At 38.8% G+C, this 14,315-nt stretch overlaps 1 protein-coding gene across 17 annotated transcripts in view; it reads right to left on the bottom strand.

Annotated features, from left to right (window-relative positions):
- Positions 1-14,315, bottom strand: part of CDKAL1 (CDKAL1 threonylcarbamoyladenosine tRNA methylthiotransferase) — a 697,948-nt gene that overhangs the window by 274,382 nt on the left and 409,251 nt on the right. For 15 of the 17 annotated variants that reach the window (XM_047418949.1, XM_047418952.1, NM_017774.3 and 12 more), the window contains one exon: positions 2,438-2,604. The exons of 1 other annotated variant lie outside the window; for it this stretch is intronic. In XM_047418949.1, coding sequence (XP_047274905.1) covers positions 2,438-2,604 — 167 coding nt within the window. Of the gene's footprint in view, positions 1-2,437; positions 2,605-6,453; positions 6,693-14,315 lie in introns of those variants that run through there. One more of the 17 variants, XM_047418957.1, reaches the window with a different exon arrangement.

Below are 14,315 nucleotides of genomic sequence, written 5' to 3'. Positions count from 1 at the left end.
CTCTATAATTTATTTTATGAAGAAGGCTCTTCCTTTTTTTTTTTTTTTTTTTTTGAGATAATCTTGCTTTGTCACCCAGGCTGGAGTGCAGTGGCACAATCTTGGCTCACTGTAACCTCTGCCTCTTGGGCTCAAGCGATTCTCCTGCCTCAGCCTCCTGAGTAGCTGGGATTACAGGCACCTATCACTCCACCCAGCTAATTTCTGTGTTTTTACTAGAGACGGGGTTTCACCATGTGGGCCAGGCTGGTCTCAAACTCCTGACCTCAAGTGATCCACCTGCCTCGGCCTCCCAAAGGGCTGGGATTACAGGTGTGAGCCACTGAGCCTGGGCAGCTCTTCCTGTATTCATTCTCATATTCACTCATTTATTGAGCCACTACTGGGTGGGATAGATCCACAGACAGATATAACAAGATTGTTGCCTCAAGATGACAATGTAGGAGGAAAGGCCAACATGATACATACTTCAGAGGATTTTAAAAAATATAATGTCATGACCATCAAAACTTGTTATCACTCCAACTACGATCTAGGAACTAAACATCTGGTGTTTTCCAGGCAAAGTATAAAGTTATATTTCAGATCTTTTGTTGATTTTTAGACGCTCCCCAAGTCTGGCACTACTTCAGGTGCTGAGCACTAGGATTTGCTATACACACAGTATTAGCTGCTGCAATCTTGCAATCAATTAAAATGCTGAATTTATTCCAAGGAGTATTTGGTTAGTTACCTCAGAGCCAACACAAGATTTTTCTTCCTTGTGCTTCTTCCTTTTTGAACTTACCTGACTCTATCTCTTGTGGGTCCCTGGATCCCTGATCAGATCTTTTCCAATCCAAAAAAAGTGGCTGTTATCATAAACCTTATATTGATGGGGCCTGTTTCCCTTCCTACCCTCCACACGTCTAGTATATCTCCTGGTCTTCACGATGTATGCCTCACATTTACTGCAAACACAGCAAGACTGTCACAGCTCTTAGCATATTTGATTTTTTTTTTTTTTTTTTTTTTACAGAGAATCACTTTGCTTTATCAAGTGTTGAGTCAAAGTGTTAAGTAAAAGTTGACATGCCTGCAACTTATTTTTAAATAGCAAATCATAATCATCCCACACTGTCTAAAGCACTAAACTTAACATATAAATCATATACCCTTACTAGAAAGAGCTAGCTAGAAAAATGTAAATAATAAAATTAAAATTGCTAAACTCCCTCATTATGTATTTATAATTAGCAGCCAAATTATTAACTCTGTTTTCAGAATTTCTGAAATAGGTTGTTGATATTAAGGAAGCCATTCAACAAAAACCTCAACAAGTATAGTCTTAAAATCAAATCAGCGAAATAATCTTTTAAATGTTTAGCTATTCATTAGCATTTGCATTAAATTTCAGCAGCAGTGGTTGCTTTTAGCTTTTTGGGATGTTATTTTTCTGCACAAACATACTGCAAAGAACACACTTGAAAAAAATAAAAGTTATTCATTTTCATGCTTTACACATGACTTTGCAATTGCACTAATCAGATTTTATTTCCATAACTATGGGTCTAAAGTAATTATTTTATTTCTCAAATAGTAGTCATGGATCCTAGCAAGTACTTCTTCATTTATATGGTTGCTCTCCTGTCCATATTCTTTGCTCATATTTACTGTGTCATTTGCCTTCAGGTACCACAGTTACCTGGACATATGCCCATTTGCCTAGTTTGACACAGCTACTTAAGGGTAAGCATCCCGATCTGTGGAAAAGTATAAAAACAAAATCAGGGATCTCAGAATCACCTTTGTTCACAGTGATTACCATTATGTTGATAAGTGAAAAACAAGGAAGGAAATTCTCTGAAAGAAAATGTCATGTATTCAGGGATGGGCCTTACAATGGGAATACAGGTGCCACAGTAATGCATGTGCAAATCAAGTGGAAGAGTACCTTGCTCTGTGTCCCTCTGATTCAACTTCACCCCTATGTATCTCCAGATGAAGGGATGAAATTGAAAATTCATCCTCGAGCTTCAAGCACAGTCCCTTTTCTGATATGGCTAACAGTAGTTTGGATAACACAATATTGACTGTGGGTTGCGAAATTAATGCAACACATTAGCAGTTCTGAATCAGACGAGCGGTCAAAATGGAGGAACTGAGGCAAATTTATGTGCTGGAAGACTGAAGGACTACAAACAAGAAACAAAGAACTGTGGCAAGGTGGCAAGTATTGAAAAATTTGGGCAATGTTAATTAATGATGAGGAAGTAAAAAAGTGTTGCCTGCCAAAGAAGGGGATTTGAAAGTCTTGATTCATTCTTGGAAATGCGGGACTACAAAAAAAAAATGTGAAGGAGTTTTAAATGAAGCTGATGTGATGATACTGAGGCTGCCACACTGTCTGGACTGGTTAGTGTCTATGTTAGCATGCAAATAGGGTGCTTTTCCTTACCTCCAGATGCTCTAAAATATAGGGCGGATTTGTCATGCCAAGCCTCAGCATTGCTCCCTCAGGAATCACTTCAACCAGTTTCCACAGGAGTGTGGGGAGATTGGTGCCAATATCTCTGCCATAAGCCCCCGTGTCTTCACTGGTCAACCATATCTCACAAACACCCTCTGTGAATCAAAAGAGATAATTAACAAATCTGTGGCAGAGCTGTTTCCTTCATCATACAGCTGCTCACTGTTTTTAATGCAGTATTTCTCAACACTATTATTCAGGCAGTCTGGGTATTCAATTGCAGAGAAAAAGCAGCTTATCCCATGGTGCCAGTGGGTTATTAAGTTCATTTTACGAACACCAGAGAGTTACAACAATGCTGTAAATTATCAGTGTGTCCTATGAAGTGATTAACATTCACAGCCAATCAGTTCAACTGTGCTTCCCCCAAAGCACTTTGATCAAGACTAAAGCCTCAGTCCCACCTCAGAGAATACCTATTTTATTGAACACTCTAAGCCCTGGAACTGAAACAGTCACTCCACAGAATAGGCACCATCAGCAGTTAACTCATTAATCAGTATGGCACCAACCTAAGGAAAAATGTCAAGTGTAGTTAAGGTTTAGCTCACATATTATTAATTATAAGGTATCCATTTTTCTCATAGCAACTATTCTAGTCTGTCTTCATTATTCAATTAAAAATAGTATTCATTTTGTTGCTGCATTCAAAAAAGTTGGTTGCTGCCTAAACTGAGTGTTTGTGTTGGAAAACCTGTTTACTGACAGTTTGCTTTCTATTTTCCACAAATCAGACTTTAGGAAAATGTATATATATTCTTGTCGTTATTATTGTTATAAAGAATCCTGACTTCAAATATCATACCCTGCAATGATAATGCTTCAAAAGTCCAGAGGAAATACTTTGGGATCCCCCTCATGTTATTTAAAATGAATAAAACAGAGTCAGCAAGAGCCATTCAGGCCTTTCATGGCACACAGAACTTTTCTCAATCCATATTCAATGAAATGATCAGCCTATTTTCAAAGGCCAAATGATTAACGAGGCTAAAACAAACAATGAAGGGAGCCTGTGAAATTTGCTCACGCTCAAGTGGTTTGTTGCTTCTGAAGAACCTCAACACACACACACAGGCACACAAACTGAAGACTTTAGCCTGAACCAAAGTATAAGTTTCTAGAAAGTGTCTTAAAATTATAATTTTAAATTACCTTTAGTTGACAGAACAGAAGAGTTTCAAAAATACATTTAAATATTCCTAGCCAAGAGAGACAACAAATAAAACACATGGCTTTTATGTGAACGTGGACTTAAAACTCACAGAATAAAAAAGCATAAAATAAAGATCTTCGCTCCTCTTAATATGTTCCATGAGGTAGAAAAAAACACAGCAAAAAGATTTCCAATCACTATTCTTTCCTTTAGCATAAGAAATATAATTACTTCAGCAAAAAACTAAACCATATGAAAACATTTTCACTTTTTCCTGCCTGTCTATCTTTCTGAGACATACACATCCTCACCCACACCCACACAACATGGAAAATACAAGGATAGAAATAAGATTTTAGTTTTCCCAAATTAAAGAATCAATAACTTAGCATTGAGAACAGAATACATAGAAAAAAGAGCACTTAAAAAGCTTTTTAAAAAATAAAAAGCTCAATACATTTTAAAAGCTGAAGATATTTTTAGCATCTGAAAATTAGTAGTATTATGGATATATGGGTTTTCATAGTTTAAATTAAATACCTACTTCCAGAAATAATAAACCTTTGCTTAATCTTAATCATTTAATAAAAAGCTTTATCCTCCAAAGAAATAGTCTGGCATGTCCATAGGCTATTTTTAGAGGTGTACAATTTTATAAATATTCTCTGTACACGGAATAAATCTTTTTCTATTTAAAAAGTGGACTGAAATTAGTGGTATCATCTTTAATATTATATCTGCCATTAGGCGCTGGACTCATACAATCTTTTTTTTAACAAAATCTTATCACAAAATCCACTCCAGGAAAAGAGATGGCTAAGTAACAACATAAACAGATTTTAAAACATTCTGAAAGAGGTTATAAAAACAGGACATTATCCATGATTTTCCAGTTACTGGCATTTGAGCAACACAATATGAATATTTTAAAATGAACAGAATAATTTTAATTTATAATTTTTCCATCCAAATGGTTCCATGTTATGCCTTATGTAGAGAGTGTGGGTTCCTGGAACAGTGCCTTGCTGTTGCTAGATGAATATAGAAGGGGAAAAATCGCTATGAATAGGAATGGAAATAACATCCATAGAGAAACAGCAGCCAGCTCTTCAAGCTGCATAGGTGGGGACCAATAGCCCCCTGGTGGGCTGAAACCTCAAATTAAATCACATAAAGAGGAAGCAGCTGTAACACTAAATCAGCAACAATAGGAACAATGGTCTTGATGTTTCCAAGATCAAGGCTGCTAAAATACTCTATATAATAGCAACCTGGTTTAAAACACAATGGAACGAAAGAGCATGAGCAAAATGAAACCCTTGGACTTGAGGAGAATTTTGCTTTGCCAATTCAATTCAAAAATCTGTCAAAGATGATCTTGTTCTTAGTCAACGTGAGAAAGTTCAGCTTTTGTAAGGGTGTATTTCAAGCATGAAGAATCCTAATGAGAATGGATCCTTCAAATAGGATATGGAAGTCATTACATACTAAAAGTGACGCTAAATGTGGAATCCCCATGCCTGACATCCTTTTCCCTGGAAAGTCTCCTGATTAGTCATAGCACAGGCAGTTCCTGCCAGGCCACGCTTGCATATGAAGTCACCAGAGCACCTGAGGGCTTCAGTAGTCACTCATGGACACACATTGGGACACATGCTTATATCTGCACACTTAATTGGCTAGACTTACGGACAGAAGTGCTTGCCTAAAAAGCTTCATTTCTTAAGGACTTCAGTTATGAGCTTTATTTCTTTGCACGTTCAGTTCTCAATTCATCCAAACCTTTATTTGGCCCTTACCGTGTGCCCTTCAGCTCTTCCAGCTCACGATAGATATGGATTCACCATTAAACTGGCTATTAGCTAAGAGCTGGCAAGGGGACACTGACTAACGTCCTGGACCCTTTGCATCCATCCCTATTGGTGGTGGGGATACAATGGGACAGTCTTCATGAACACAGCCTTAGACCAAAATGAAGGGCCTGCTGGGCTAGCTTAAAATGGACACAATGTCAGGTTCAGTAAGATAGTCCCAGTCTGCACTATAACTTGGAATTTGGTAAGTATATGTCAGGAAAATAAACACATGAAAATGAAAAAGAGGGGGCGGGCGCAGTGGCTCATGCTTGTAATCCCAGCACTTTGGGAGGCCGAGGCAGGCAGATCACGAGGTCAGGAGATCGAGACCATCCTGGCTAACACGGTGAAACCCTGTCTCTACTAAAAATACAAAAAATTAGCCGGGCATGGTGGCGGGCGCCTGTAGTCCCAGCTACTCGGGAGGCTGAGGCAGAAGAATGGTGTGAACCTGGGAGGCGGAGCTTACAGTGAGCCGAGATCGTGCCACTGCACTCCAGCCTGGGCGACAGAGCAAGACTCCGTCTCAAAAAAAAAAAAAAAAAAAGAAAATGAAAAAGAGATAAAAGCAGGAAGAACTAAGATAAGAGAAGTGAATGCCCATTAAAAACTTCCATGCCTGTAAAAATAAATACATGCAAAAAAAGAAAGTGGTGGGGTAGGAAAGTAGGAGACAGAAATTAGGGTTTTTTCACGCATCCAAGGGAAGATTTTACTTTTTTCTAAAATTGTTCATCTACCTGACTTGTTTTCGTTTTCCCAAAAATTGTTCAGTCTACCCAACTTTTTAAATGAACATTATGTTCATCAGATCGTCCACCATCCTTTTGATGCATTAATTTTGGTAAAAGGAAAAGCAAATACTAGGAAGAATGAAATGCACTGTACAGGAAAAAAGCCTTAAGTTTAGCTATGAGATTCCATTATCATCTTACCCAAGCAATTACAGACCAGCCTGTAGATGAAACACAAGCCATTTTTCCCTGAATAAACAGCAACCCCAACAGCTAGATTCCCATCTCTGCGCCATAGCAATCTGAGATGACAGGAGACGGAAGTAGAAGACCTAAAAGTTTGATAATAAAAGAAGGATAATATCCTCAATAAAATAGTCTCACCACAAAGAAAATCCTCTTTGAAAAATCAAACTTTGCCAAAATTCAATTTCAAAAGATTATGGCTCACTATAACTATGTATGAGCTTCACTGTAATGAATTAAAATATGGGTGAAGACTGATTTTATCTAGTCAAGAAGTAGCATTTCTCTAGTAGTTCCTGCTTTATCTTTGAGGAAAATTTTCAAGATAAGTTGTTTCAATTATTCATGAGTAGTCTCTAAAAATAACCACAAACATACAAAAACTGTAAATAATGATTATGGGGATCTATAGTTAAAGAGCACTGGATGGCAGGGAAACCTACATCAAGTACACATCATTTAAAAATCCTTGGAAAATCTGCTAACTCTACCTCCCACTACCCGGTGTGTGCTCTCCACTCTCCATCTTTTCTTTTCTTTTCTTTTTTTTTTTTTCTGAGACTGTTTCACTCTGTCACCCAGGCTGGAGTGCAATGGCACGATCTCGGCTCACTGTAACCTCCGCCTCCGAGGTTCAAGTGATTCTCCTACCTCAGCCTCCTGAGTAGCTGGGATTACAGGCGCACACCACCATGCCATACCCAGCTAAGTTTTGTATTTTTAGTAAAGACGGGCTTTCGCCACGTGGCCAGGCTAGTCTCCAACTGCTGACCTCAGGTGATCCGCCCACCTCAGCCTCCCGAAGTGCTGGGATTACCGGCATGAGCCACCGCGTCTGGCCCCTTCCCCATCTTTTGTTCTCCATTCCTATCCTTTGTTTTTTCCTCTCAATTTTATCCTTGAGTCTTTCTCCACCATCCAGTTCCAGCCTGTATTCTCCCACTAAGGAAAATACATTAAACATATATGTTATATTTATTTAATATGCATTAAATTAATCAGCTTTTACTTCCTGCTGTTTCTTTTAAGGGTCACAGTGCATATTAAATTTTTAGGGGTTCTTTCTTCTTAAAAAAATAATCTTAGAGAATTCAGAAATTACGCTGGGTGCAGTGGCTCACGCCTGTAATCTCAGCACTTTGGGAGGCCAAGGCGGGCGGATCACCTGAGGTCGGGAGTTCCAGACCAGCCTGACCAACATGGAGAAACCCCATCTCTACTAAAAATACAAAATTAGCCGGGCGTGGTGGCACATGGTTATAATCCCAGCTACTCAGGAGGCTGAGGCAGGAGAATCACTTGAACCCAGGAGGCAGAGGTTGAATTACCTGTAGTTCCCAGGGGAAGTCACTATAGCTCCGGCCACTATGCTTTACGCCCATGCTGTTTCCTCTGCCTAAAATGACCTCTACTCTTCTTTGCATAAAAAATACCTCTTTGAGGCCGGGCGCTCGTGCCTGCCATCCTAGCACTTTGGGAGGCTGAGACAAGTGGATCACTTGAGGTCAGGAGTTCAAGACCAGCCTGGCCAACACGGTGAAACCTCGTCTCTACTAAAAATACAAAAATTAGCCAGGCACAGTGGTGCATGCCTGTAGTCCCAGCTACCTGGGAGGCTGAGACAGGTGGATTGCTTGAACCTGGGAGGTGGGGGATGCAGTAAACTGAGATGGCACCACTCCACTCCAGCCTGGGAGACTGCATGAGACTCCATCTCAAGAAATACTTCTTCAGAAAACTTTCGCGACCACTGAGAATAATTTACATGCTCTTCTCCTGTGCCTCCAACCCTCTTGTACATAATTCTGTTAATACAGTGTGTTATAATTATTGGTTTGTCTTCCCTGAGAGAAAAGAAGCATTTCCCAGGCAGATCTGCAAAAATCTAAAACACATACGCCTAGGACCTATCATGATGCCTAGCAAACAGCAGGGCCTCAATGAATTTTGGTTCCATCAATCATCATATTTGATGGGATCGCTTTCAGTAAAAAAAAGAGATGCACAGATTAAGTATATTTCAGCTAACATTTGAAAAGCACCTCCTACACAGACACATAAATATACACACATACATATAAACACACATATACAAACACACGCACACATACAGAGATTGTGCACAAAAGTGGAGGAGGTTATGTATTAGGCAATGAGGAAATACCAAAATGAATATTCTTTGGACAATATGGAAATGCAGCTTGAATGTTGCAAAGTTTCTTGCATAGTCTCTTAACTTCTACACAAGATTAGCAGTCTCACTTAGGGTTCCTTATTACCCTACAACAACAGCTGGCCAGCAAAGCAACTGAATGCAACCAGCTTTTCACTTACAGGTATGATTTTCTTTTTAGTTACAAAGAAGTTCAGACAGATCAATACTCAGAAAACAAACTTTAACACTATTTTTTATTGCCTTAATAATGAGAGTTAACAAAGAGATGGTATTTCCAGACCTTACTGCTATCTGTAATTATACTGGTTATAGAAAAAATGTGTTGGCATAAATTGATAATGCTGTTGCTAAACAAAAACAACTTATTTCTTTCAAAAGGTCATAATCAGAAAGAATACTGTTTATTTCCATACTTCTGCAGGAATTTGGAAATAATGGAAAGTTCAAAACAAACTAAATACCATAAAAGGATGATACACTTTCTGAAAACAAGGCTTCAGACTCCCCAGTCTCCAAAATCTGTAATAAGCCTCAATGAAGCAGATTAAGTTTATCCTCTTAATACCACAGTATGTTATGCTCCATATATGGGCATTTTTAATACCCCTAGAGAAAATACAGACAGCAGTGTCTATGAACAGGTCCTCTTGTGTTTCAGCAGGATGTCGAGAGAGGTGTAATTCTATCTTTAAAAATCACAACAGGCTCAACGCTAGCAGTCCAAACATTATGGATACACAAAGGAGGAGGAAGAGGAAAGAAGAAAATCATTAGATGCCTGCAATGCAGTACACTGTTCTCAGAAAATATTAATAATCAGTTGATAATGGTGATAAAAACTTATCGAGATTTCAAGACTAACAAAGAGCTACAGAATAGTTTAGAAGGTAAAGAAAAGTAAAAAAGCAAAGGATTTTTCATTATTTCAGCCACTGAGCTCAATTATGGAATGAAGAACAAATAAAAGTTCAGATTTTTAAAGGACAGAATTTTTATGACTAATGTTTTGGTCCTAAAGGTCTTTCCCTTTGGGCCAGGCATAGTAGCTCATTCCTGTAATCCCAGCTCTTTGGGAGGCCAAGGCACAAAGGATTCCCTTAGTTAAGGAGTTCAAGACCAGCCTGGGCAACAGAGCAAGACCCTATCTCTACAAAAACTAAAAAAATTAGTTGGGCATGGTAGTGTGCACCTGTAGTTCTAGCTATTTGGGAGGCTCAGGCAGGAGGATCACTAGACCCCAGGAGTTGAGGTTACAGTGAGCTATGATTGCACCACTGCACTAGAGCCAGGGCAACAGAGTAAGACCTTGTTTCTTTAAAAAAAAAAAAAAAAAAAAAAGTGACCTTCACTCAAGGTACAGTCAAACAGAACTGAAATTCTATAATTAAAATTAGAAAATTTTGTCTTTAAAACTTATACAAGCACAGATGATGCCCGACTTACAATGGCTCAACTTAGGATTTTTCAACTTTATGACGGTGTGAAAGCGATACGCATTCAGTAGAAACCATACTTCCAGTAAACATACACCATTCTGTTTTTCATTTTCAATACAGTATTCAACACATTGCATGAGATATTCAACACTATATTATAAAATAGGCTTTGTATTAGATGATTTTGCCCAACTGTAGGCTAATAAAAGTGTTCTGAGCATGTTTAAGGTAGGCTACGCTAAGCTATGATGATCAGTAGGTTGGGTGTATGAAATGCTTTTTTCTTTTTCTTTTCTTTCTTTTTTTGTTTTGTTTTGTTTTTAAGACAGGGTCTTACTCTGTCACCAAGGCTGCAATGCAGTGGTGTGATCATGGGTCACTGCAGCCTTGACCTCCTGGACTCAAGTGATCCTGCCACCTCAGCCTCCCAGGTAGCTGGAACTACAGGTACATGGCACCACACCTGGCAAATTTTTGTATTTTTTGTAGAGACAGGGTTTCACCATGTTGCCCAGGCTGGTCTCAAATTCCTGGACTCAAAAAATCTGTCCTCCTTGGCCTCCCAAAATGCTGAGATTACAGGTGTGAGCCAATGAGCCTGGCCTTTAAATGCATTTTCAACTTATATTTTCAACTTACAATGGGTTTACTGGGATGTGACCCCATCATAAGTCGAGGAGCATCTGTACTTAAACAGCAAAGAGAGTTTTCTATTTTCTATTATATTATTATATGTTCAGTTTGAAGGTATATCAGGTATATAGTTTAGGTGTCCTCATACAAATAAAACATCATTCATTCATTCATTCATTCATTCATTGACTCCTTCTAGCAAGTAATTGTTGAACACCTATTATGTACCAGATACTGTTCTAAACCTTAGAGATAAGGTCTCTGCCCACGTGAAATCTATTCAAGTGAAACAGACAATAAACTAAGAGATAAAGAACATATTGTCAAGTAAAAATAAGTGCTAATAAAAATTTTAAAAGCAAGATAAAAGGTATGGATGATGAGGTCAGTTGCAGTGGCTCATGCCTGTAACCCCAGCACTCTGGGAGGCTGAGGTGGGCGGATCACCTGAGGTCAGGAGTTGGAGACCAGCCTGACCAACATGGAGAAACCCCCGTCTCTACTAAAAATAGAAAATTAGCTGGGCGTGGTGGCGCATGCCTGTAATCCCAGCTACTCGGGAGGCTGAGCAGGAGAATCACTTGAACCCGGGAGGTGGAGGTTGTAGTGAGCCGAGATTGCCTCATTGAACTCCAGCCTGGGCAACAAGAGTGAAACTCTGTCTCAAAAAAAAAAAAAAAAAAAAAGGTATGGATTGTGGTACTGGATTACATCCCAGTAAATCCATTGTAAGTTGAAAATGCATTTAAAGGCCAGCCGTATTGGCTCACCCCTGTAATCCCAACATTTTGGGAGGCCAAGGAGGGCAGATGTTTTGAGTCCAGAATGATGAAGTGATTGGGAAAAGACACTTATTTTTGATAGGGAATAGTTGAGGAAGACTCACAATGACACAAAACCTGAATGAATCAAGGTACTAAGCCATGCAGATTTGCTATCTAAAGGAAGAGCCCTTGAAGCAGAGGGAATATAAGTGCAAAGACACAGTATGAGTATGCCTGCAGTTCCCAAGGAACCACAAAGAGGTCAGTGTGGTTAGAATGAAGTGAGTGAGAGTTTCGTGGTGAGAAAGAATTGTACAATGGGAGCCAGTGTTAATGGAAGTTGTTATAAGGGGCTCAAGCTCACAGGGCAGGGCTGAGAGAGCAAAGATGACATGTTGATAAACAATGCACTGTCATAGCCAATAATTATGCAATATGTATATTATACTTGCCAGTGAAAGCTCTCAATAACTTCACTTTAAGATATTTTCATACTTATGCTCATGAAAACTGAATGCAGTTTCAAAATTCTCAAATCACTAGATACGTTGTATAAGAAGGGGCAGGAAAAAAATGACAGATAATGTAACTGTCCAGTCTTTCAGAACAAAATTAATTTCATTCATTCTTTATTTGGAGGGGAAATTTATTACTATAATTGACCAAAATATACAAAACAACACTCACAAATGTAAATAGAAATAAATAAAAGGAACCCAGACCAGTAACAATGTATGGTTTTTAGTTGGTATCACCTAGAGGGAAAGAAAGTGGTGCTTGTCTTTTATTTCTTTTCTTTTCTTATTTCTTTCCATCCAACGGAGTCTAAATACTACTACTGTGCCCCAGATTCTCACTTAGCATTATTTAAGTTGAAATCCAGCAAACAAACCAATACTTGCCACAAACTCAGAGTCTTAACGTTTGAACCACTGCTTTGGCTTCAGAAGATAGGACAAATGAGAATATGTGATATAGGGCCTCTATGAGGTAGGAAAATGAATAGAAAAATAGGCTCACCCTCAAGAACCTACTACCCAAAAACCTGGAAACTATAATTATAAATATGATAATTTGGATCACTTTATTCTTTTGAACTACAGGTAAATATTCCTTTATCCAAAATGCTTGGGACAGAGGGATTTTAGATTTCAGATTTTTTTCAAATTATGGAAAATTTGCATCATATGTAGCAGCTAAACATCCCTAATCTAAAAATACAAAATCCAAAGTTCTCCAATGAGCATTTCCTTTGAGTGTCATGTTGGCACTCAAAAAAGTTTCAGATTTTAGAGCATTTTGGATTTTGGATTTTTGGATTAGGGATACTCAAAAGGGGTTAGTTAAAATAGCCTTATGTGCCTTTTACAGGTTGGATGTAGGAGATGAGAAGATAGTTACATTCTTAAGTAAAAAGGTTGTGTGTGTGTGTGTGTGTGTGTGTACGTGTGTGTGCACATATGCACTGTTTCTAGATAATGAAAGAATAAAGTGCAATTCTAGGACAAAGAAATACTGTTTAAAAGTTTTAAGAAGCAGCTAGTGATTCAGCCCTGAGGAAAGGAAGAATAGTCAGAATAGGAAGGTCTGACAGATATACCAGTTAGCAAGAATTTAATAACCAGCTACATCTTCAATTTAAAATTTCTAAGAACAAAACACTACAAACATTTGCAGGTAATGTCAACAAAAGGTAATTTTAATACCATTATAATAACATATATATCAATAACCAGTTCTATAACTTGACCAAAATTATGCCAATCAAAATGATAACTACCAACATGTCTGCTTCTATAGAGGAATATGTAATATCCAGTACAAACTGTTGACTCTGACCGTACTGATGATAACAAACAATTAAAAGGACAGGCCAGGCACAGTGGCCCATGCCTATAATCCCGGCACTTTGGGAGGCTGTGGCGGGTGGATCACTTGAGGTCAGGAGTTCAAGACCAGCCTGGCCAACATGGAAACCCTGTCTCTACTAAAAATACAAAAATTAACACAGCATGGTGGTGCACCCCTGTAATCCCAGCTACTTGGGAGTCTGAGGCAGGAGAATCACTTGAACTGGGAGGTGGAGGTTGCAGTGAGCTGAGATCACGCCACTGCCCTCCAGCTGGGCGACAGAGTGAGACTCCGTCTCAAAAAGGACATACTGTGAGGACTTCCACTTCTACACATGAAGGATTAACTGTTATAGAAATTACCCTACTACTGTAAACAACTAGAAAAATTGACACAATATATGAGACAACAATAATTGGACAAGAAACAACACAGTGAAGGAATGTGATTCTTGAGAGAAACAAAGGAGATGAGCAACATGAGTTCCCATATTACTATCTGGAGGCATTTTCCAGGTCACAGTACAGACAGGTAGGAAAACAAACAGAGCCCAGTGACCTTTCTGAGTTGAAGAGACAGAGGTTGGAGTTTGGAAGGTTATAATTGATAGGATTAAATATCATAGAGGAGAGGGCTGTCTATGGAGACGGAGCTCCAAAAATCAGAAGAGGGCTCCCCTCAAGTCTCTGGCTGAGTACTGATGTGGGCTAAACTATTGACTATGGTTATTTATTTATATATTTGGAGACAGAACCTCACTATTTTGCCCAGGCTGGGTTCGTACTTTTAATCCTCCTGCCTTAAGCCTTCTGAGTACTGGGACAACAGGCATGCACCACTGAGTCTGGCTCAGTGTGGTTATGACCAGGAGGGAAAAAAAAAAATATCAATCAATAGGAACACAGTCAGAAATGACAAACATGATGGAATTAGCAGGCGAGGACATAAAACCAGCTA

Source organism: Homo sapiens, chromosome 6 (assembly GCF_000001405.40).
Source record: "Homo sapiens chromosome 6, GRCh38.p14 Primary Assembly".
NCBI lineage: Eukaryota > Metazoa > Chordata > Mammalia > Primates > Hominidae > Homo > Homo sapiens.
The sequence above is the reverse complement of the archived record's forward strand: the minus strand, read 5'-3'. Positions and strand labels throughout refer to the sequence as shown.